Genomic DNA, 25,546 nt, shown 5'->3' with positions numbered 1-25,546 from the left:
CATGTCTTAAGCTATGTTTCTCTAGATACTTGGTTCATGTTTATCTTTTGGACATTAGAGTGTTTAAAATGTTTGTTTCCATCTGGATTCTTCACTAGGAAACTCAGAAATTTTCAGTTAATAAATTTTAGCATGCTAATGTTAACCTTGGCTTTATTCTACTTTCCAAAAGCTTCTGCTCCCATACGCCTTCCAATTTTTAAAACATTTCTTATTTTTTTTTTTTTTTTTTTTGAGACAGAGTCTCGCTTTGTCACCCAGGCTGGAGTGCAGCGGCGCGATCTCGGCTCACTGCAAGCTCTGCCTCCTGGGTTCACGCCATTCCCTGGCCTCAGCCTCCCAAGTAGCTGGGACTACAGGTGCCCGCCACCATGCCCGGCTAATTTTTTTTGTATTTTTAGTAGAGACGGGGTTTCACCGTGTTAGCCAGGATGGTCTCGATCTCCTGACCTCGTGATCCGCCTGCCTCAGCCTCCCAAAGTGCTGGGATTACAGGCGTGAGCCACCGTGCCCAGCCAAAACATTTATTTCTTTATTGTAGTGTATTGTATTTGTGTAATCTCCTCGAATCCCCTTTAGAATAAGATGGTATGTCGATAAATATATTTATTAATTAAATTAGAGTTGTGTTCTTGCATCAGATTATTTTGGCCTCTTATAAAATAGCCTGATTCTCAACAGTCCTTTAGTATTATACTCTCAGCTTGTATTGTGTGTGAAATACTCTAAGGAGCAGCCATGAAACTCAAACAACAACAATAAAAACAAGTAAACATCACCTTTGCTTATGTTTAATATACAAAAGAATTGTTGTCTGGATCATGTCCACTTTTTTTTTAAATGGAGTCTCGCTCTGTCACCCAGGCTAGAGTGTAGTGGGGCGATCTCAGCTCACTGCAACCTCCTCCTCCCAGGTTCAAGCTATTCTCTTGCCTCAGCCTCCCAAGGAGCTGGGATTACAAGTGCTTACCACCATGCCTGGCTAATTTTTTTTGTATTTTTAGTAGAGACGAGGTTTCACCATGTTGGCCAGGCTGATCTCAAACTCTTGACCTCAAGTGATCCTCTCACCTCAGCCCCCCAAAGTGCTGGAATAACTGGCGTAAGCTGCTATGGGATCTTGTCCACTTAATACCAGTATTCTCTTGAATTAGGAATGACAAAAAAAATTTCTGGCATGCCACAGGGCCTTCCAAGTAAGTGATATACTTTTCTCCCATGAGGATTCACAGCTGTATGTTTTGCTCTTATTCAAAACCAAATTTTCTGTCTACCTCTCACAGTTAGGTAAGATCCTGTTTAAAAGTGCTAATTTTATTTCTAGTTCCATTTGTTTGCCTATCCTTATTTTCTCATGTCTCTAACCATTAATTGATTTTCTTTTTTATCCCACAGTATTATCTGTATTTATGTGTGGCTCGATAACACTTAGTGGCAAAAACTCAATGTTTTTCCTCCCAATGTTTTCCCGTTTCCCTTTCATTCATTCTAGCAGGTAGCAGACTCTGCACTTTATTGCATTAGGAGAGGCATGGGGCATGGCAGAGAAAAGGAATAGCTTGCAAATATTTCTTGCTTTTGTTTTCCAAATATCTGTATCTTTAAAATAACTTAGAGGGTTTTGTGGAAGAGGGAAAAAGAAGGCAGAAGGGTATTTGTGGGCAAAAGTTGTGAGAAACATGGTGCAAGGAAGAGATGAGAGAAACCAAATAATGGCCAGTGGGAGACTGAGATTGGAGGATTGCTTGAGTCCAGGAGTTTGAGACCGGCCTGGGCAACATAGCAAAACTCCATCTCTACAAAAATTTAAAAAACTAGCTGGGTGTGGTGTCCGCCTGTAGTCCTCACTATTCAGGAGGCTGAGAGGGGAGGATCACTTGAGCACAGGGATTCGAGGCTGCAGTCAACTGCAATCATGCCACTGCACTCCAGCCTGGGCAACAGAATGAAATTCTGTCTCTAAATAATATTACATAAAGACTACATGAAAGTATCCAAAGTGGCTAAAAATTTTAGGCCTGAACTCTCTTATACATTTATAAACTTTGAAGGAGCTATGGTCATGAAAGATGACATTTTTTGTTGGTGGCTTCCATGGTATGAACCTTTTATAAATATTAACATTTATAAGGTCATATACTTCTTTTTAAGATCAAAAATAAGTCAAAATTCACACACACAAAAAAGCTAAATCAAGCCAAAAAATAGAACTTCACCAACAAGCAGATGCTCTCCTCACCCTATGTATACCTCCACAACCACAGCTCTCTTTCTTTCCCATAGGAGTAACCACTGTCTTCACTTCAGAGTACTAATTTCCTTATTATCTTAAGCTTGCTGCTTCTGTATAACTTACCTAAACAATAGTTTAGTTTTGCCTATTTGTGAGCTTTGGATAAATTAAATCATATTGTGTGTCCCTTTGTACTTTTCAGTTTTGCTCAATATAATGTCTGAAAAGTTGAGCCATAATGGTTCTTTAACTTTCATTGCTATATAATATTCTACTCTATGACATACCACAACTTATCCATTTTGCTGTTGGGGAACATTTAGGTTGAATCCAGTTTGGGATATATTAAAACAATGTTGCAATGAACGTATATATTCTGTAGCACATAAGCATGATTTTCTCTAGGATATATACCTATGGGTGCAATGCAAGGTTACAGGGTATGTGCATCTTCAACTTAACTTGATAATGCTACATCATTTTGCGGAGTGGTTTTTGCCAGTTTATACACTTATCGGCAGTGCATGTGCATCCTTGAGAGCTCTGTCACTGCCTAACTGTGTAAATTTGTCAGGTTACATAGGCCATTATTTGCATTTATTTATCCATCTACTTATTTAATAATTACTAGGACTGTCTATGTTCCAGGCAATGTGCTGGGTAGTGGAAACAAAAAGGTACATACAACAGACACTTCTTCACTGTGTCCATTATAAATTGGTAATGGCTGTAATCCCAGCACTTTGGGAGGTCAAGGTGGGTGGATCACCTGAGGTCAAGAGTTTGAGAACAGCCTCCTCAAAACGGGATGAAAGCCCATCTCCACTAAAAATACAAAAATTAGCCAGGCATGGTGGTGGGCGCCTGTAGTCCCAGCTACTCGCGAGGCAGAGCCAGGAGAACTGCCTGAACCCAGGAGGCGGAGGTTGTATTGAGCCAAGATTGCACCACTGCGCTCCAGCCTGGGCGACAGAGCAAGACTCCATCTCAAAAAAAAAAAAAAAAGAATGATAAACAAATCCTGAATGCCCCTCAAGTTTCAAATTTCTATCATACTCCAGTGAGCCAATGAACTATGAACAAAATTTCTCAGGAAAATCCTTCTGTAGAGGCAAATAATCCAATGTATCATCCTGGTAATAACTGGAGATCACATTCAACAGCAGCTCAAATTTCTTTCCTCCTATTCTATTGGTTTAAGATGTGCATTGTATATGGAGGATATTTTTCTCTCAAGTCATAACAAATAATCCTTGGATTGTTTCTTTGAAGGTTATAGGTTACATGCCTTAGCTTGAAAAATTGCTGAGGGAATGAAAAAAAGGTGCTTTAAAGCAGCAAAAAATGGTATATTATGCCTGATGTCAGAACAATATTTTTTTCAGTTCGACTTTTAAGTAGGAATTTTGATTTCATTTAAATTCAATGGACACTGGTTTCTGAGTGCTTCTGGTTTCGCACATGCATCTCCTGTGCTCATAATTACAAAATTAGTGTATAAGTCATGTACAAAGTCGATAAATCATTATAGCCTGATATTCAGGTACACATATATATTTGTGTGCATAAATGAAAAGAAAAGGAAAAAAGAACCTGAGAAAAGCTGGCACTGAATATCAAATAAAAAAGACTGTGGAGCATAACAATTCTCTTATTCCCATACTAATTTGCCAAGGAGTTAATTCTGATAACCCAAATCTGGCAGTGGTCTGCACAGCTTGCAAATGGAGAATTACATAGCATCTGGAGATGTATGAAAAAGTAATTTTTTTCTCAACTATATTACTGCACGCTTATTAATCCTTTAAAACCTGTTAGTTGAGATAAATGCTTTTTAAAAATAGGTGTAGTGATTTTTTTTCCCTTGCTGGGATTCATTCTTTAATACTCCATGGTACAGAATCTCTTGTATTTTATGTCGCTTGCCACTGCATTATTCAATACAAATATGACAAAAGTATGAGTCACACACAAAATAACAACCAAAGAAGTTATACTTCAACATTAAAGCGGTAAGCGGCAACTGTCAAAGTAATGTGTAAAGCTCACATTTTTAGATTTGCACTCTACACAGGACACAAACAGCAGAGTTCTGTCTGCTACCAACAAAGACTCTGCAGGCTCTGTCAAGTGCCCATCATCCAGAGAGGTTGCCAGCACTGTTTACAGTCACAAATACAAATTATTTACTGCTGCATATGAGGTAATGGGGTAGATTTATAGTAGCAGGAGAGGCTGATAAAACCACTGGCAAGATGTAGCTTGCAGGAGTAAACAAATTAACCAGAAGGAGCAGCTGGGGAAAGAAGTGCAGGCATATGTGTGCGCATTTGGTTAAAATACAATGTTGACTTCGAAATGATGGGGAAAAAAATTCTCTTTCTCCTCCTATGCTCGCCCCAAGGCACAGAATCTAAACGGGATACTTTCAAATTTCATTGTCTGTCTGCTGCTGGAAATCAGGTGTAGTATATGTAAGTCTTCTATGATTGTTATAATTCTATAATCTCTCACAAGAACCCCGTTGGCTATAAAAGGGAATGGCTATTACAAAAGTATACATTCTCATTGTCAGTTATAGAAATATGAGAGGAGATGAGACAGCCCTAGGACTTACAGACTTGTCTCAATCTAAATATGGCTTGCAAACTATTTTGCTTCATCATTTTGGAAATCACCACACACACACATACACACAAACACAAACACACACACACAAACACACACACACACTAATGTAGAGAACACTTCTGAAAGTTTCAAGGTGGGAAAAAAAAGCTCTTCCTTGGATTACATAATTTTAATTATGTCTTCCTTCTGGCATTTTAGCAGGTGGCATTTCAGTGATCAATGAAGTCCCAGCATCTGTGCTTCCTTGTATATTATGCTCGTCTGCCAGTCCACTGATCTCAAATTACATTATTGTCAGCACCATTTTTAGATGCCTATAACAACCAGGTCTTCTGGCACCTTTCCTCATTTTGTAGCATGAGAGTTATCCCAAAATCCTTTTTATTCTTTTCTTAGGAAGACATTGTTTTCTGTTGTTCCAAAATTTCTTTTTCTTTACCTCTTTGGTTCCTTTCAAGAGCCTTTCACTTATGGCATGTGTACTACTGGAATGAAAACATCAAAGCAAACAATTTAGCATGTTAGATGCTTAATAAATTGCGGTTGAATGATTAGAGACGTTGAATCTGCTTGGAAAAGAATGGCATCTGGACATTTGAAAGCATTTCTGTCTTGTGTAATGATACTTTGTGTGTATCTCTGCTTTGGTGTCAGGCTTAAAAAACGTGTTGTCATGTCTACCACCTCATCGTATCTTCACAGTATTCCTGGAGCTAGGCAGGAAAGGCATCCATTCAATATTTATTGAGTATCTCCCCAGGCACTGTTCTTGGCACTAGGCATAGAGAGATAAAAAGAGAAACCTCCTTGCTTTATGTGGGGAAGTGGGGGGAATTATATTCTAGAGGTTTTCATTGCCAATATGAAAATGTGGAAACAGAAGTACCAAGAATTAAAGGCTGGCCTCTAGTTAGCAGTTAGAGGGATTGCTATATCTAGCAATCAAGTCTTCTGGGTGCTGCTCTTGGTTGCCAGGCTACTTACAACCTCTCTTTGGATTGGGACTAATTGCTGCAAAGAACAATGACAACAAATCATGAGCAGAAATATTGTTTGTTAATTTGAATGGAAATCATCTGCTCGTCCCTGACAATGTATTGTGTGCATTTTTACAGCTCTTTATTTTAAAATATAGTACTAATTGTTTTGGGGAGAAACGTTTGGTATTGGTAACTGGTTTATTGCATAGATCGGTCCTGGTGGATTGCGAGTAGAAAGTCCACAGATTCTTTCTCACCAAGGCCCTTTCAAACAATCTGTTTAACATCTTTCTTCCCTTCTGCTTTTTAAAGTTGCCTTTTGGTATTTCAAAAAACAGTCCAGTTAAATGTAATGACTCATCCAGCTGAAAATTTCTCTACTCTCCCAGCTCAGGGCTGACACTGGCTCAGTACCCCCATATGGATCGGGGTATAGTTAACTTCTTTACTCTCTGGTTCCTCTAGCCTTTTACCTTCATTTACAATACTGCCTCTTGATCCTCCAGGTTAGAGTAGGGAGACAAAGGAGAAGTAAATAGCAGACAGGTCTTACTTGACTGGTATGGGTATGACTTAATATTGGTGCTCTGTGGATTCTGATGCCCAAATGCTGTATTTTTCTCCTTTGAGAAACTTTTGAGGAATTTTCATATTCCTTTGCTGGGAATCTCCCAGCTGCAATTCTATGGCATGGATCATGTCTTTTCTGAATGATGTTTCTATAGCTCCCCTCAGCTCTGTATTTCAGTAGTTCACCCCATGATATCCTCCAAAAGATCACCTTATCCCCAAAGATTATCTACCCCAGGACTCTTGGCTGGTGTCCACTTCAGGATGACCTAAGCCTGACTCCCTTCTGTGGAGTCCACATAAGGCTCAGGAAAAAAATGCACCTCTGTCCTTCTAATCTCTGGAAGTGGAGGCCATTTCCAGAACATCAGTCTTGGCTCTGCTGTCATAGGCAACTCCATTCAGCTGACAGCCACCAAGCTTTACACTTTTACAGGCATGAATCAGGTATCCATAACCACTCTCCCTCCCAATCTCCAGTAGACTCAAGTCAAGTACACTCATGGTTTCTTTGGAATTGCCTCTCACTTGGCATAAAGTGGCGAGCCCTGCACTGCAGAGAGGACAGGCCACAGCATTACAATCAGCTTGTCTCTGAAGAAATCCTGACTATGTAACCATGCTTCAGCAACTTGCAAGTCAAAAGGGGGTTGTCTTACTCAGCTCAGGCTGCTTCAACAAAATACCATAGACTGGGTGGTTTAAACAACAGAAATTTATTGCTCATAGTTCTGGAGGCTAGAAAGTCAAGATCAAGGTACCAGTAGATTCAGTTCCCAAGTGAGGGCTCTGTTCTTGGCTTGCAGGCTGCTGTGCTCTTATATCTTCATATAGCAGAGAGAGGCAGAGGCAGAGAGAGGGAGACGGGAAGGGCGGGCGGGGGAGAGAGAGAGACAGAGAGAGAGAATGCTCTCTTATGTCACTGTCGTCTCCTTCTCCTTCCTCTTCCTTTCCTCCCTCCTCCTCCCCCTTCTCCTCCCTTCTTATTCTTTCTTCTCCCCTTTGCACTCCCCCTCTCCCTCATCCTCCTCCTCTTCCTCTTCCTCCTCCTCTACCCTCATAAGCTAATTACCTCCTAGAGGCCCCATTTCCAAACACCATCACACTGGGAGTTAGAAATTCAAAACCTGATTTTAGGGTTGCCTTTTTGTGTGATAATATTTGAAAGCAGAGTTAGTTCCTAATAGGTTAAATTCTAGTGCTTACTTACTACTTCTTTACTACTACTTCTTTCTTTGATAAGACTGTGGATCTTTTCATTTAGATATATTTTCCTAAGCTATGGTCAAGCTGTTTTTATTTCATACCTCAGTCCATAGCAGAGGTTGATGAGCCAACATTCATATCATCATCTTTTGGCCACTTTTTTGGAAGAACTGCATATGCAATTTAGTACCTCCCTTTCTGGTGGGTGCACTTAGATTCATTTTTATCAGCTCTGTGGATTTAGCTGAAATAATGAGACTGGAAGAGTGACATTTGAATACCCTTTTAAAGATGTGAATGCTTGAAATACTAACCCCTTTCTTCCATTTGTAAAGCTTTGTCTCATTTTTAAAATTCCAGTATTCATCTGCTCCTTCACGAAGGATTTGAGGACAACTCTACCTATAAAGAGTAACTACATTAAGTTCAACAGAACCTGAGAGCTTACTAAATATTTTTACACTGTTATTAACCATTTGTGTTTGCTTGACTGTTTTGTGTTTCCTGTCTTCTTCAGGTATACAGAAACCATTTAACCCTAGGCTCAACCACTTGTCCAATACAACTTTTTGTGATAATGGAAAGTTCTTCCTTGTTTGATGTGGCAGCCAATATCCACTTTTGGTTACTGAGCAATTGCAATGTGACTAGTACAACTAAAGATCAGAATTCCTAATTTTATCTAAGTTTAATTAATTTACATTAGAAATATAATTAAATTTAAACAGCCATTTGTCATTAGTACTTACCACAACAGACAGTGAAATACCAGACAATTAGTATCTTGATTTTTAATTATTTTCCTTTGAACAATACTCACAATGATGTCCTATTATAATGCATTATATTGTTCCACTCAGTAAATAGTGAATGACTGTTATTTCATCATTTTCACATTAGCAAATATTAGCACTTAAATATGTCTAGCTGGTGACATTAGTATAAGTCACTTACATTTTTTAGCTACTTACTTTTGATAATATTCCAATATCGAATAATGTCCCTTTCTATCTGCCACCACAACTATGCCTATGTCCTTCCTCTACTTCATGCAATCAAGTTAAGTTTAGAAGGTAGACCTTAACAAAGTATGCATCATTTGTCCCTCAAAAAAGCAGCTTTGGGGCAATGACTATGTATGTTCTGAGAATGAGTCTAGGTGCAACTGATAAAATGGACAAGAGTACAATGGTTCATATAGTTTCCAAGGCCAATCTCATGGATGATATGGCTTACCACGGCCATGCTAGGCATGAGGTAATTTAAATTTATTTCAAAACACCCTAGATATTCAAAGGACATCCTTATACCATGAGGTGTTCACTAGTCTTTTCTGAGGTTAGCCCCATGTGTAATGAGTTTTTCTGATTTATGGATCTGTCCTTGTTTCTTGAAATACACAATGTTTATAAAAACAAAACCACACCATCTTTGGTAACTGTATGTTGAACTAGCTACTGCTGAGATTTACTAGGAGCTCCCAGGTTATTTTTAGTTCATCTAATAAATTTACAGTTGTTCTTCTTTTCTTGTAGTTACGTTTGTTAGTTTGCCAAGCAATCCAGCTGCTATCCATTTTTCACCAGTTTAAGTGGAATGTCACTGAGATTGAGCTTCAGTGGGTCTTATGGGCATATTCCAGCATTTCTCTGGTTACTAATCCTGTCATTTGAAACTACGGATGACACAGAGGTAATACTGATGCCAATGCACAGAAGTCATCAATGAATTTTGATGCATTACTAAATCTGCACTATATACAGCACTCTGGACTGCCGCAAAATGAACCTTCAGCTCATTCTAGAGCTTCACTTTGGAATGATGCTCTAAGGGATGGAGAAAAGCCAAATATCAGTTTGCTGGACTAATCTTATAAGAGGGATCCCATCAAGATGATATTTAATTATGTTTTAAATACTCAGAACAAATTCCAAAGGAAAAGTAATATGTTTTCCTTAGCATGAACTACTCTCATTATAGCAGTGGCTTTAGTCCAGTCTGATAACTTTACCTGATACAGTATTGTTGAAATCTACTGGGAAATAATATTATTATGAGACTCACTGGTTTTGACACAGACAGGCCCAGGGGACTGTTTCTGAATAAAGGTGGTGAATAAAGTAAACAGCCACTGAAAATAGCAAGCATAATTATCTTTGTGCATTTTCAGAGTTGCAGAGAGACTATCAGATGATTCTTCGTGCATTAAGACACTAATTCAGGGATGATGTAAAGTTCTCCATTATTTGGGTATGAATGATGATACAAATAAAGGCTTTCTGTCCTTACTTTCCCTGAAATACCATCCCAGATGCTTTACCTCATAATTGTCTTTTATATTTTCTAAGTTCCTATGACAATGTAATGATGTCTTCCATTATTGCCTCTCAAATACAGACTGTGCTTATGGACAGGGGATATACCTCATACATTTTCTGTATTTTTCATAGTGCCTAGCACCAGACAAATAGAAGGCATCTAATACATACTTGTTTATCAGCAGTATGTATAATGCCAATCATTCTTGGGAAGGAAAAAACACAAATTAAAGGTTGTTATATTTTAAGGGCAGTGATTAAACTCTAATACCTCATTTACTGATGGTAAGCTAATCTATGCTTTAAATAACTTTGCAGTTGTCTTTTTGTGTAATAATATTTGAAATCACAGTAGTTCTCAACAGGTTAAATTCTAGTACTTATTTGCCAGTTCTTTATTTGATAAGACTATGGATTTTCTTATCATTTAAATACATTTTCCTAAGCTATGGTCAAACTGTTTTTAATTTCAATGTACTATTCCTAAACTAGAGGATTCAGAGTCACTTCCCTAATAATATTTTTTTCTGGTATAGTAAAAAAATCATTTTACACACAGAGCCATCTCATTCCTACAGTGAGACTCTAATGGAAGCAGCCTGGGGCTAAGTGGTGTCTGTGCTGCTGCATGCATTTATCAAAGGCAATAACAGTACTCGCCAATGAAGTCAGAGCCTCCCAGTTAATCCTCCCACACCTTCTTGCTCAGATGGGTGGAAAAGAGAGAAGAAAGCGGAAGAGGCTGGGCACAGTGGCTCACGCCTGTAATCCCAGCACTTTGGGAGGCCAAAGCAGGCGGACTGCCTGAGGTTAGGAGTTCGAGACCAGCCTGGCCAACATGCTGAAACCCCAGCCTGGGCGACAAGAGTAAAACTCCATTTCAAAAAAAAAAAAAAAAGAGGAAGAAATAAAGGAAGAAATTGGGAAAGTGGCTTCAGCCACAGCCTTTGATAAAATCAGAGTCCTGTTTATGAGAAAAGGTTGAGGAACCACTATTGAGTACAAATTTAATTCTACAATGGCCTTCAGGGTTGTTGGGGTCTATGGAAGGTCTAAGATAAGTCAATGGAAAATTGTTTTTTTATGGCACTGATGCAACTGGCTTCCCTTCTGGTAAGCTACCTTCAATCACCTAGAAAAACATGAGCTCTTTTTTTTTTTTCATCATCCTTTCCCCACACATGCCTTAAGCCCCTACCTCTGCTTCCCCTAAGACACTAAGGACAACATTATGCTTTGCATGAAGCTGTTTTCCCTCAAGTCTCTTATATGCATATCTAAGAAGAGAAAGTGAAAGAAACTAGAAGTCAGAGAGTTAATTCACAAATTTCTGGAGATCTGAGCTTTCAAGAAATGCTAGAAAAGCACAGGGACTGGGATCTGTAACTTTGAGAGTCAGTGGCTTGATGGAAACAATAAATGCAAGTGACTCCTAAAATTGCTTTCAAACGAAGGAGCATAACATGGCCATGAAGTAGAGGTCCAAAACAAAAAAGTCACATGCAATCTCTAAGCGAATATTAAAAACTATGACCAAAGTCTGCCATTTTTAAGGGCTAAGAAACTCTTCTAAGCTGCAGAACACAGCGGAACTTTTGCAACGCAGTAAACAGTACTTAATATAAAAGAGTTAGGAACTACTATTGCAATATTCAACTGATTGTGCTATAAAATTTATATTGTACAGCTTACCAGATCAAGATCTGCTCATCAATGCTGATTATAGCATCTGAGTCACCAGAGCAATGGGAAAACTCATTTTGTCAGAGAACTCAATATTGTGTGAGTAGTTAATACTTTCAATGACCATTATTATAATAGTCTGTGACTCACTGGGCCTGATGGGTGAAGTGAAATTATAAAACTATTCACTCGTAGACTAACCCTTATTCCTAAAGCCACCTCTTAGTGGTGGGCCAATGAGTCCTAGAAATTTCCATGAAAACTTTGAATAATACTAGTTTCCTTTAACTACTTCTTAAGAAAGCACAGATCTTGACTTGGCAATTGACTAACATAAGTCTGGTCAAATGACATAACTACACTGTCTTAGTCCATTTTCTGTTGCTTATAGCAGAACACCTAAAAAGGAGTAATTAGGAAAAACAAACAAAAAATTATTTCTTACAGTTACGGAGCCTGAGAAGTGCAAAGTTGAGGGGTCGCATCTAGTGAGAACCTTCTAGCTGATGGGAACTGGGCAGAGTCCCAAGGTGATTCAGGCATCACATCACACCATAAGAAAACTGAGTATGCTAGCTCAGGCCTCTTTTCTTCTTGTAAAGCCACCAGTCCTATTCCTGTGACAATCCATTAATCGATTAATCCTATAATGGATTAAGCTATTCATAAAGGTAGAGTGCTCATGACCCAATCACCTCTTAAAGGCCCCACCTCTCAATACTGCCACATTGAGGATTGAGTGTCAACATGAATTTTGAAGGGGACAAACATTCAAACCATAGCATCCCACCCCTGGCCTCCCAAAATGCATGTCCTTCTAACACATAAATATATTCATTCCATCCCCATAGCCTGAAAGTCTTATCTTGTTCCGGCACCAACTCAAAAGTCCAAAGTCCGGTCTTACCTATGAGCCTATGAAATCAAAACAAGTTATCTACTTTCAAGATACAATAATAGTACAGGCCTAAGACAGTCATTCTCATTCCAAAAGGAAGGAGGAGGCAAAAAGAAAGGAGTAACAGGCCGCAAGCTAATCTGAAACCCAGAAAGATAAACATGAAATCTTAAAGCTGGAGAATAATCCCTTTGATTTCATGTTCCACCTTCTGGTTATCTTGGGGCATGAATTGGGACCCAAGGCTTCAGGTAGCCCCATCTCTATGGCTTTGCTGCATGCTAGTCACATGGTAGCTCATACAGGTAGAAATCCAGTGTCTAAAGCTTTCCCAGGCAGATGTTGCTTGCTACTGGTGACTCTACAGCTCTGGAGTCCCAGTGGTGCTTCCATGGCTCCACTCAGCATTGCCCTAGTGGAGACTCTCTGTGGCAACTCTAACCCCGCATTTCCACTCAGCATTGCTCTAGTTGGAGCCCTTTATTGGGGGCCTTGCCCCTGTGACAAGTCTCTGCCTGAGCCCCCAGGCTTTCTGCAGCATCCTTTGACATTTGGGTGAATGCTGCCAACCCTTCACAACTCTTTCTTTCTGCAAGCCTACAGAATTTGCACATGGATGCCACTAAGGTTGACGACTTGTATCTTCTTAAGCAGTGAGCTGCTCAGTGTCTGAGGCCACTTGAGCCACAGCTGGGGTGGCTGAGGAGGACTATGTTGGAATGAAGGGAGCAGAGACCTGAGGTAACCCTGGGCAGCAGGCCTGAGTCTGTCCCCAAAGCCACTCTGTCCTCCTAAGCCTCTGGGCCTGTGATGGAAGAGAGAGCCTCAAAGATCTCAGAAATGCTTCCAGGGTCTTCTTCTACCACCTTGATGGTTCCTTCTCTCTACTAATCTTAGCAAAAGTTGCTCAGCCACTTACTTGGTTTCCTCTCTTGAACAAGCTTTTTCACTTCTTACATGGCCAGGCCGAGAGTTTTCCAAATCTTTTTTTTTGCTTCTCTTTTCATTATAAATTCCATCTTTAAGTCATTTTTTTTTAAACTCACAGCTTAATGTAAGTGGTTAAAAGTAGTCATGCAGCAGCCTGAATGGTTTGCTGCTTAGGTATTTGTTCCATCAGATATCCTAATTCATTGCTCTTAAATTCTACAATCCATAAAGCCCTAACTAAGGCACAGACACAATGCAGCCAAGTTCTTTGCCAGTTTACAACAAGGATGGACTTTTCTCCAGTTTCCAATACCTTGTTCCTCAGTTCTATCTGAAATCTCATCAGAACGTTCTTTGCTGTCCCTATTTCTATCAGTATTCTGGTCACAACTAGTTAACCAATCTCTAAGGAGTTACAAACATTTCCTAGTATTCTTATCTTCTAAGCCCTCCCCTCAATATAAGTGTTTTCTAGCCTGCTCCTTCAAACTCCTGTAGCTGCAGCCCATTACCCAGTTCCAAAGCTGCTTCTGCATTTTTACGTATTTATTATCAGCAACATGCCACTTCTCAGTACCAATTTTCTTGGCTCATTTTCCATCATTTATAAAAGAATATTTGAAACTGGGTAATTTATGAATAAAAGAAATTTACTTCTCCCAGTTATAGAAGCTAAGAAGTACAAGGTCAAGGGGCCACATCAGGGAGGGCCTTCTTACTTGTGGGGATTTCCTGCAGAGACCTGAGATGGCTCAGGGTATCATATAATGAGGGAGCTGGGTAGGCTAGCTCAGGTCTCTCTTCCTCTTCTTATAAAGCCACCAGTCCCACTTCAATGGTAACCCATTAATCCATTCATGAAGGCAGCACTTTCAGGACCCAATGACTTCTTCAAGGCCCCACTTGTCAGTACTGCCACAATGGGGATTAAGTTTCAACATGAGTTTTGGAGGGGACAAACATTCAAATCATAGCACACTCTGAGATGCAGTTTCTTATTTGCAAAGGAGGTATAACATATCTATCTCATTCGAGTTGCTACAAAATTAAATGAGATAATGCATGTAAGACATCTAATAAACACTCAGTAAATGTGAATTTCCTTCTCACTTGAAAAGCATTAACGTACATTAAGTTTGAAAAATATCTGTTAAAGAATTAAAGCAGAAGTTTGGGCCATGGGTTAGGGGAATATAGCTCATAAACATCATACCTACGGCTACTGAGATTGTTAATATTTCACAATATTTGTGAAATACTGATAAAAGATGGAAGCAAATTTGAATGAATCCATATTACTGCAAACTTATTAGTGGCATCAAAGAGTTGTTGATTGAAGGTTTCCAACAGTGTTTACAGTGGGCATTACCCTAGGTTCATAAGATTGAGTATGCATTCATTTCAAATGTAATGTGTCTTTAATATAACTCATCTCTTTAGGATTCCACAGTTCCTATAAATGGCTTTTCTGGAGAAAGTTCACTTTACTTTTCTGCATTGAAATACAGGATTTAGCACTGTTAATTTATTGTGGATCTTATAAAAAGCACTGAACCAAGAAGGGAACAAATGGTTAATTATGTGGTACTTTAGCAGTAATGTAACACATAGTGAACAAAAATGACTTCCATAAAGTGAACATTATAACCTAATTGGTTTCTTGCACCTTATAAATTAGAACTAATTACCAAAATAGAAATTTTTACATCTCAGAGTCACTTGGCCAGAATTACATAGTCAGTCAACTGCCAAGTCAAGATAAAAACACAAGTTTTCCTGATTCAAAGTTAATATTCATTCCTCTTGCTGTATTCTCTTAGGAAGTAAAGACACTAATAGTATTCAGGGTTTTCCATTCATACTTCTGCACAGCTGTCTAGTCTTCATCAAACCTAAGCATAAAAAATACACAGGTTTACTTCTTTCTCTGGGTCTCCATTTCCTTATTAAGGCCCCCCATGTCATGTAAAACTTGCATTAAATAAATCTGTATACTTTTGTCTTTTTAATCTGTCTTTTGTTATGGGGCCTTAGCCATGAACCTAATAGAGAAAGGAAACATATCTGCTTTCCTTTACAATACTGATATATTAAATATATCAATTGCAGTAAATAAACTCAACATAGCTCTTTAGTATATGGTAACTACCATAACATGTGAAATTAGAATGTATTCCTTTTAAACCAAGAAGAAAAAACTTTAAGTATTCCAAGAAAGAAAAAATTAATCACACTGAGGCAAAATGATAGTATAGAAACTTAAAAATACAGGAAAAAAACCTAATAAAACAGCAATTACAATATATGTAAACGACATAAACCAAAAGACATGGAAACTATGATATTAATATAATGAAAAAGGATATATCAGGTGAAAATAAACCTGAAGAAATCTGTAGTAATATTGACACTTGAAAACATAAAATTTAAAGCAAAGAATGGGAGATAAAAATGCCATACACTTTAAAAATGAACAGTAGATGAACAGAATGCATTCATTATAAATACATATGCATTCAACAATACAGCTTCAAAATATATAGGATTAACTGACAAAATAGGAGGAAGTAATTTATGAATTTAAAAATTGGATTGAGGATTTTATCATACCCTCTTCTGAAAATATAGATCATGCAGAAAAAATATACAGTGATATAAGAAAACCTCGAAAATATAACTTAACAACCACTGTTATGTTTAAATCATGAGACATAAATGAAATTTCGTCTCTCAAAGCAGAATACACAATCTGTTTAAGTACACATAAACATTTACAAAACTGGTCATATATTAGGTCAATTAAATAGCCTCAGTACAATCTAAAGGATCAATATAATGTCTTATGTTCTCCATTTTTTTCTATCCCCCCATCTCTCTCCTTGTCAGCTTTATTGCAGGACAATCTATACAAGTACACAATCATTGTACACCCAATTAACGTTCACAAAGTGAATAAATTATTGTAACCAGTCATCCAAACAAGACATAGAATATTATCAGAATCCCAGAAGCCCCTTTCTGCTACTCTTCTAGACGTTATCCCTCAGCAAGAGATATTCTGATTTCTATCACAATAGATGGAATTACAATATGTATTCTTGTGTATAATGTCTTTTGTTCAACATTGTGCTGGTGAGATCCATTAAGTTTGTGTCTTATTTCATTTCCCATTTCTTTTCATTTTTGTAAGGTACTCAAATATGAGAATATACCACAACATATTTGTAGACATTTCAGTTGTTTATAGCTATTTCCAGTTCTAGTGATTCCATGAATATGCTTATACATGCCATTTGATGAAGAGATGTACACATTTATTTTGTCTCTATAATAGGTGTGTAATTTCTGGGTCATACGGAATATACAATATGTTCAACTTTAGTAAATAATTCTAAGCAGTTTTCCAAAGTGGTTGTACCAACTTATACTCTCATTATCAATGAATGAAAGTTTCAGTGGCTTCACATCCTTGTCAACACTTACAAGTTCTTTCTTTTTCATCTTAGTCATTTGGTATGGTATGTTGTAGATTCAAGTCTTCTTTATATAATGAAGTTGAATATATTGTCATATTTTTATTTGTTATTTGTATATCCTCTTTTGCAAAATGCTTGTTCCAGACTTTTGCTCATTTCTCTATTTGATTGTCTGCATTTGATTATCAATTTGTGAACATTCTTCATGTATTCTAGATATGAGAGTCCTTTGCTTGATAAAGGTTTTGCATGTATGTTCTCCATTCTCTGGCTAGACTTTTTTACTACTTGATGTCATGTGATGAATAGAAATTTGTTATTATGATATAACTCGATTTACTTCTTTATTACTTTTCTTCACGTTTAATGACTTTTTGATGAAAAGAGACATTGTGATTCATTTTATTCAAAATATATAGGTATTTAGTTGTTATGGTTAATGTTTTACTTATTTATTTGTTCTACCGTGCCATTTAATTACCTTTTTGTGGTAATAAATACATTTATATTCCTTTTTTCTCCTTCATCCCCACACCCTACCCTTCCTGACCTCTGGTAACCACCATTCCACTCTGTCTTCATGAGCTCCACACTTTAGCTCCTACACGAGTGAGAACATGCAATATTTGTCTTTCTGTACCTAATTTATTTCGTTTAATATAATGGCCTCCAGTTCCATCCATGTTGCTGCAAATGACAGTATTTCATTTGTTTTATGGCTGCATAACATTCCATTCTGTATATATACATTTTCTTTATCCATTCATCTATTGATGAGCACTTAGGTTGATTCCATATTTCAGTGAATAGTGCTACAATAAACATGGAAGTGCAGGTATTTCTTTGATATACTAATTTCCTTTCTTTTAGATATATGCCTAGTACTGTGATTGCTGGATAATATGGTAGTTCTATTTTTAACTTTTTGAGGAACATCCATACAGTTGATAGTAGCTGTACTAATTTACATTCCCACCAACAGTGTATGAGGGTTCCCCTTTTCTACAACCTCACCAGCAGATGTCATTGCCTGTCTATTGATACAAGCAGTCTTAACTGGGGTGAGATGATATTTCAGGATTAATGATGTTGAACATTTTTTCATATACCTATTGGCCATTTGTCTGTCTTATTTTGAGAAATGCCTGTTCAGATCTTTTGCCAATTTTAAACTCAAATTATTTGTGTGGTTTTTTTTTTTTTTTTTTTTTGGTTTTTTGTTTGCTATTGAGTTGTTTGAGCTTCTTACATATTCTGGTTATTAATGCCTTCTCAGATGGATAGTTTACAAATATTTTCTCCCATTCTGTAAGTGGTCTTTTCACTTTGTTGATTTTTGTTGTTGTTGTTGTTGTTGTTGTTGTTATACAGAAGATTTTTAGCTTGATGTAATCCCATTTGTCTATTTTTGCTCTGGTTCCCTGTAATTTTTTTGAGGTCTTCTCCATAAAATCTTTGTTTAGACCAATGTTCTGGAATGTTTCCTCAATCAACTTTTTTTTTTTGTAACACTTGTGTAGACATTTTTAGAGCAGGTTTATATACATTTTTTGATTCAAACTTTATTTTGTATGGGTATCTTTATAAAATTATTTGATATATGCTCCTTTTTCTTAAGGTAAAATACATTTGTATAGCATCAACATTTTCTGTTAGGTCTATTAAGAACCTCATTTTATGACCTAAGAGGTCATAAGTGACACTTACACAAGGTCAATCTTAATGACCTGTATAAGAACCACAATTATACAAGGACATTTTGGGGGAGTATAATTTGCATGCCCCTTTGCCAAAAAGCCTCATAGTTCTGTGCTTTTGGAGCTATTTATTTTATTTTATTTTTTTACTTTAAGTTCTGGGATACACGTGCAGAATATGCAGGCTTGTTACATAGGTATATATGTGCCATGGTGGTTTGCTGCACCCATCAACCCATCATCTAGGTTTTAAGCCCGTATGCATTAGGTATTTGTCCTAATGCTCTCCCTCCACTTGCCCCCCAGCCCCTGACAGGCCCCAGTGTGTGATATTCCTCTCCCTGTGTTGTGTCCATGTGTTCTCATTGTTGAACTCCCACTTTTTTTTTTTTTTTTTTTTTTGAGATGGAGTCTCGCTCTGTCGCCCAGGCTGGAGTGCAGTGGCGCGATCTCGGCTCACTGCAAGCTCCGCCTCCCAGGTTCACACCATTCTCTTGCCTCAGCCTCCCGAGTAGCTGTGACTACAGGCGTCTGCCACTGCGCCTGTCTCATTTTTTGTATTTTTAGTAGAGATGGGATTTCACCATGGTCTTGATCTCTTGACCTCGTGATCCACTCACCTCGGCCTCCCAAAGTGCTGGGATTACACGTGTGAGCCACCGCACCCGGCCACAACTCCCACTTATGAGTGAGAAGAATGGGTGTTTGGTTTCCTGTTCCTGTGTTAGTTTGCTGAGAATGATGGTTTCCAGGTTCATCCATGTCCCTGCAAAGGACATGAACTCATTCTTTGTTATGGCTGCATAGTATTCCATGTGTATATGTGCCACATTTTCTTCATCCAGTCTATCATTGATGGGCATTTGGGATGGTTCCAAGTCTTTGCTATTGTAAATAGTGCTGCAATAAATATACATGTGCATATGTCTTTATGGTAGAATGATTTATCATCCTTTGGGTATATACCCAGTAACGGGATTGCTGGGTCAAATGGTATTTCTGGTTCTAGATCCTTGAGAAATCGCCACACTGTCTTCCACAATGGTTGAACTAATTTACACTCCCACCAAGAGTGTAGAAGCGTTCCTATTTCTCCACACCTTCGCCAGCATCTGTTGTTTCCTGACTTTTAATGATCGCCATTCTAACTGGCATGAGATGGTATCTCAACAAACAACTCTGTGCTAAAGGGGCATGTTCTAACCCAATGCAAGGAAGCTAAGAACCTTGATAAAAGGTTACAGGAACTGCTAACTAGAATAACCAGCTTAGAGAAGAACCTAACTGACCTGATGGAGCTGAAAAACACAGCACAAGAAATTAGTGAAGCATACACAAGTATCAACAGCCAAATCAATCAAGCAGAAGAAAGGATATCAGAATTTGAAGATCAACTTACTGAAATATGGTGCGAAGACAAGATTAGAGAAACAAGAATGAAAATGAATGAACAAAGCCTCCAAGAAATATGGGACTATGTTAAAAGACCAAACCTATGATTAATTGGCGTACCTGAAAGTGACAGGGAGAATAGAATCAAGTTGGAAAACACACTTCAGAACATTATCCAGGAGAACTTCCCCAACCTAGCAAGACAGGCCAACATTCAAATTCAGGAAATATAGAGAACACCAGTAAGATAGTACTTGAGAAGAGCAACCCCAAGACACATAATTGTCAGATTCTCCAAGGTTGAAATGAAGGAAAACATGTTAAGAACAGCCAGAGAGAAAGGTCAGGTTACCTACAAAGAGCAGTTTTATATTTACCTAAAACAAACTGAAGTATGGGGATGTCTCTAGATTTAGTCTTTTTGCTCAAGATTGTTTTGGCTCTTTTGGATCTTTTGTGCTTCCAGATAAATTTTAGGAGTTTCTTTTTCTATTTCTGTAAATAATGTCATTGGTATTTGGATAGAGAATGCACTGAATCTGTAAATTGCTTTGGCTGGTATTGCCCATTTTCACAATATTAATTCTTCCAACCCATGAACATGCAATATCTTTCCATTTTGTGTGTGTGTCTTCTTCAATTTCTTTAAACAGAGCTGCACAGTGTTTTTTTTTTGTTTGTCTTTTGTTTTTTTTTTTTTTTGTATACATCTTCACTTCTTTGGTTAGATTGGTTTCTAGGTATTTCATATTTTTGTAGCTATTGGAAATGGGCTTGGTTTCTCGATTTTTTTCTGATTGTTTGCTGTTGGCCATATATAAGTGTTACTGATTTTTGTATGTTAATTTTGTATCCTGTATCTTTACTAAATCCATTTATTAGTTCTAACAGTTTTTTATGTTGCAGTCTTTAGGTGGGTTTTTCTAGGTTTAACTTCCTTTCCAATTTGGATATCCTTCATTTCTTTATCTTGACTAATTGCTCTGGCCAGCAGTTCCAGTAGTATGTTCAATAAAAATAGTGAAACTGGGCATCCTTGTCCTGTTCATCTCCTTTGAGGAGAGGTCTTCAATACTTTCCTGTTCAGTATGATGTTAGCAGTGGGTTTGTCACATATGGCCCTTATTATTTTGAGGTATGTTCCTTCAATACCCATTTTGATGAGGCTTTTTGTAATAAGGGATGCTGAATTTTATCAAATGCTTTTTCAGCATCTATTCAAATAATCATAAGGTTTTTCTGATTCTGTTAATGTGATATATTGCATTTATTGATTTGTGTATTTTGAACCATCCTTGCATCCCTGGATGAATCCCTCTTTGTTATGATGAATAATCTTTCTAATGTGTTGAGTTTAGTTTGCTAGCATTTTGTTGAAGATTTTGTGTCTACGTTCACCAGTGATATTGGCCTGTAGTTTTGTGTGTCTGTGTGTGTGTGTGTGTGTGTGTGTGTGTGTGTGTGTGTGTGTGTGTGTGTGTGTGTCTTTGCCTGCTTTTGTTATCAGGGTAATGCTGGCCTCATAAAATGAGTTTTAAAGTATTGCCTCACCTTTAATTTTTTTGAAGAGTTTGAGTAGGATTGGCATTAGTTTTTCTTTAAGTGTTTGGTAGAATTCAGGAGTGAAGTAATCAGGTCCTGGGCTTTTCTTTAATGAGAATCTTTACATTATGGCTTAAATCTTGTTACTTGTTATTGGTTTTTTGAGGTTTCTTTGTGTTTTAATCTTGGTAAGTGATATGTGTCCAGGAATATATGCATTACTTCTAGGTTTCCAAGTTTGTTGGAGTATAATTGTTCATAATAGTGTCTAATGATTCTTTGTATTTCTGATGTCTCAGTTGTTACGTCTCCTTTTTCATTTTTGATTTTATTTATTTGGGTCTTCTCTCTTTTGTCCTTAGCATAGCTAAAGGTTTGTTGATTTTTTTTTTTACCTTTTCAATAAAACAACTTTTTTTTGTTCATATTCTATATTGTATTGTCTTAATTTCATTTATTTCTGCTCTGATTTTTATTATTTCTTTCCTACTACTAATTATAGGCTGGGCTTGTTCTTGCTTTTCTAGTTCCTTGAGATGCATTCTTAGGTTGTTTATTTAAAGTCTTTTTACTTTTTTGATATAGGCATTTATTGCTATCAACTTCGCTCTTAGTGCTGCTTTGCTGTATCCAATCGATTTTAGTATGTTGTATTTCCATTTTCATTTGTTTCAATAATTTTTTAATTTCCTTCTTGAGTTCTTCATTGACCCACTGGTTGTTTAGGAGTATGTTGTTTTATTTCCATGTGTTTGTGTATTTTCTGAGGTTTCTCTTGTTATTGATTTCTAGTTTTGTTCTACTGTGTTCAGAAAAGATGCTTGATATGATTTCTATTTTTTAAAATTCATTCAGATTTGTTCTGTAGTCTAAGATATGGTCTGTTCTCAAGAATGTTCCATTTGCTAATGAAAATAACATGTATTCTGTGGCAGTGGGTTGAAATGTTCCATAAATGCCAGTTTGGCCTATTAGATAGGGTATGTCGTTTAAACTCCAATGTTTTCCTTTTCAGCTCTGGTTGGCACTATAAGCCCAGTTTCACCTCAGCACTAGTAAATTACTGAAGTACTGTCAGTCCTGAATGGGGAGGTCTCAAAGGGATTATCCCAGCAGGATCGGAAGGCTGAGTTGGTGTCCATCCCCAGGGGATCTGTATCTGTGGAATGTACCATCCGACAGCATGGTGTTGCTGAGTCTGATTTGGTGTCTCCTTTGGTTGAGTCACAGAGTTTCCATGGCTGGGAATGTCAGTCCTGCCCCCTCCTTTGTCTCTGCCTGTCCGCAGGGATATTTCTTCCTTCACTCAGTCATGATGATTCCTGTGGGTTAAAGCAAGGACAAGTCTCCTGCTGGGAACCCAAGAAGGTGGGGAAGCCGGCTGACCATCTCAATCTCACTTTTTCAAGTACATAAACTGTGAATTGAGGGGAGATTTCCTGTGTGCTTGGCGCTGGGAAGAATTTGGGGGAGGGGCATTGTGGATGTGGGAGTCTGGATTCTTTTACTATCTGCTTGGAGTTTCTCCACTTTTCTGTGGCTCCAGGAATTGTTTCATCCCATATTTGAGTTCTGGGTTGTTGCTGGTGAAAAATTCTGGTGCTCTATATTTGTTTCTGGATTTCTGTGGTGGGGAGTGAATGAAGCTTGCTTCTATACTGCCATTTTGGAACCAGAAGTCTAGTGCTTTTTATATTCTGATTAAAAATAACCCCATGTCATGAAAAGTTTCCCCTATAATTTCTTTTTAAAAGCTTTATTGTTTTGCCCTTCACATTTATTTCTACAATCTCTATGGAATTGCTTTTTGCATATGGTATAAAGTAGGGTCAAAACACTTGTTTTTTCAACTTACCAAGAAATTGCACTGGGTGCCCATTTTAAATGATTACTTTAAAATATTTCAATTATGTTAAAACTTAAAAAAAAAATTTCCCCAAATACCATCTATCCTTACACAACAGCTGCTTTATTTTCTAATATTTCTCTCTGGTCTTTTATTTTCTTCTATTTACCCATCTATCATGTTTACATACTTCATTTATTCAATAGTATTTGTTGAATATAACTCTATTTGAGTCCTTAGAGTATATAATTCTCTATGACTTTTTTGAGCTTCTCTGGATAATAGTTGGATTTGTTTATTTCATGATTCTCTACGGGGAAATTCAATTTAAATCACAGCCAAAAGCAAAGTAAGTTTTAAGATAAATGGGATTAAATAAAACCATGTACTATATTTAAAATTTTACATTTCACATGAAAAGGGAAGGCATAAGGAATCTAATGAGTAATTCATTCCATAGCTTCAAATATATATATACACAAAGAAAACCCTTTGTCTGAACATGTAACAAAGACAGTGAGATATTCTTTATCTTGATCTCTTATTTTCTTTAACATAAACTTGCAAATGATCTCCTTATAAGAAATAATATCACCTCAATTTCTGAGCTTTTCTGACCTAATAACACTCCAGGAAACTGAGTTCATTATAATAAGGAAAGATTTCTATAAGAAGAATAGCATTTGGAAAATAATTATTGCACTGTTATAGTTAATATTAACAACACATGGAAGTTCAATATCCTTTAAACATTCTTAATTTAATAAATTGGACACATTTAGGATTATTAAAAGTATTATTAAAACATAGTCCTTTTAAATGATAGTAATTATTTACTACTACTGATATAGAATTAAATATTTGCTCCTGATGTGATTGACAGCTACTTTATACTTATAGATACTTAAATAATAGCATTTATAAACTGGCTATACCTATTAGAAATCTCAAGAATTCTTATTATGTAAAAACTATTGTAGCAATATGATGCTTACTCATCATGGCTCAAATGAGTCAATCCTTAAGGGCAGTAACTCAAAGGCCCATCCTTCCTGTCTGAGAAGCGAAAACAAATGTACAATCAGCAGTAATGGTGGGGATAAAATAATTAAAACATTGGCTTATTGACATTCGGGATTTTTTCCTGTGCTCGTAACAGCAAAATGAGTTTATAAATTACCTATGTATGTAACACACATGGTTTGAAAGCTGCCCTTTAGCTGCCACAACCCAGTGGAAATAAAGGGACAGCAATTAAACAAGCATCCTAATTATCATAAACTCTGAGGAATACACGCACAGAGTGCCAGGAGGCATTCATTCATTTTCATGCCAGGATGTGCTTTATTTAAGCACAGTACAAATTACCAAAGCATTTGAAATCTAGGCGAAGGTAAAACGCTCTTGTTAATAGAGATGTCTTCAAGCAAACTGTACTGAATGAAGAATGACTGTGCCATCTTACATCAATTTTACTATGAAAAGAGGACTTACATTATAGTGAACATATTTATACTGACTGCGATGCATCTTCACAGTTTCAAAATAATTAGTCAAGCTGAGCATATCAGTCAAAAAGTACCAGGTAAACGAGTTATACTGAATAGAAAGGAAACAAAGCCCAAAACACTACAACCTGTTAATTAACTGAAATTTTCTCCAGCTTAGTACAATCACTAATCACAACATAGTCCATTTTATTTTTGTCAGCTCTGACTTTGACAGTGTATTTCTGTTATCATTTGGTTTGTTTTACCACCTCCAAACTTCATGTTGATCCCCAGTGTAAGAGGTGGGGCCTAATGGGGGGGTGGTGTTTGGGTTATGGAGGCGGATCCTTCATGAATGACTTGGTGTCATCCTGGCAGTAATGTCAGTCCTTGCTCTATTAGTTCCCATGGAACCTGTTGAAAGCCTGGCACCTGCCTCCCCTTTTCCTTGCCACCTTTCTTGCCATGTGATCTCTCAAACACTGGCTCTCCACCTTCCACCATGAGTGGAAGCAGCTTGAGGCCCTTACCAAAAACCAAGCAGATGCTGGTGCCATGCTTCTTGTACAGCCTGAAGAACTGTGAGCAAAATAAACCTCTCTTCTTCACAATTACTCAGCCCTGGGTATTCCTTTACAGCAACACAAACATACT

The 25,546-nt window shown here is 37.4% G+C and overlaps 1 protein-coding gene across 2 annotated transcripts in view, besides 1 other annotated feature; it reads right to left on the bottom strand.

The window, feature by feature from the left end:
- The window catches only part of B3GALT1 (beta-1,3-galactosyltransferase 1), a 581,045-nt gene that overhangs the window by 444,531 nt on the left and 110,968 nt on the right, over positions 1–25,546 (bottom strand). The window lies entirely within an intron of this gene.
- Positions 22,984–23,537: an enhancer, noted in NCBI's record as "NANOG-H3K27ac hESC enhancer chr2:168262488-168263041 (GRCh37/hg19 assembly coordinates)". NCBI's record gives its function as "activates a minimal SCP1, AML or CMV promoter by ChIP-STARR-seq in primed H9 embryonic stem cells {active_cell/tissue: H9 hESC(primed)}" and the evidence as "EXISTENCE:reporter gene assay evidence [ECO:0000049][PMID:30033119]".

This window comes from Homo sapiens, chromosome 2 (assembly GCF_000001405.40).
Source record: "Homo sapiens chromosome 2, GRCh38.p14 Primary Assembly".
Taxonomy (NCBI): Eukaryota; Metazoa; Chordata; class Mammalia; order Primates; family Hominidae; genus Homo; species Homo sapiens.
Note: the sequence above shows the minus strand (reverse complement) of the source record. Positions and strands in the feature narration are given on the sequence as shown.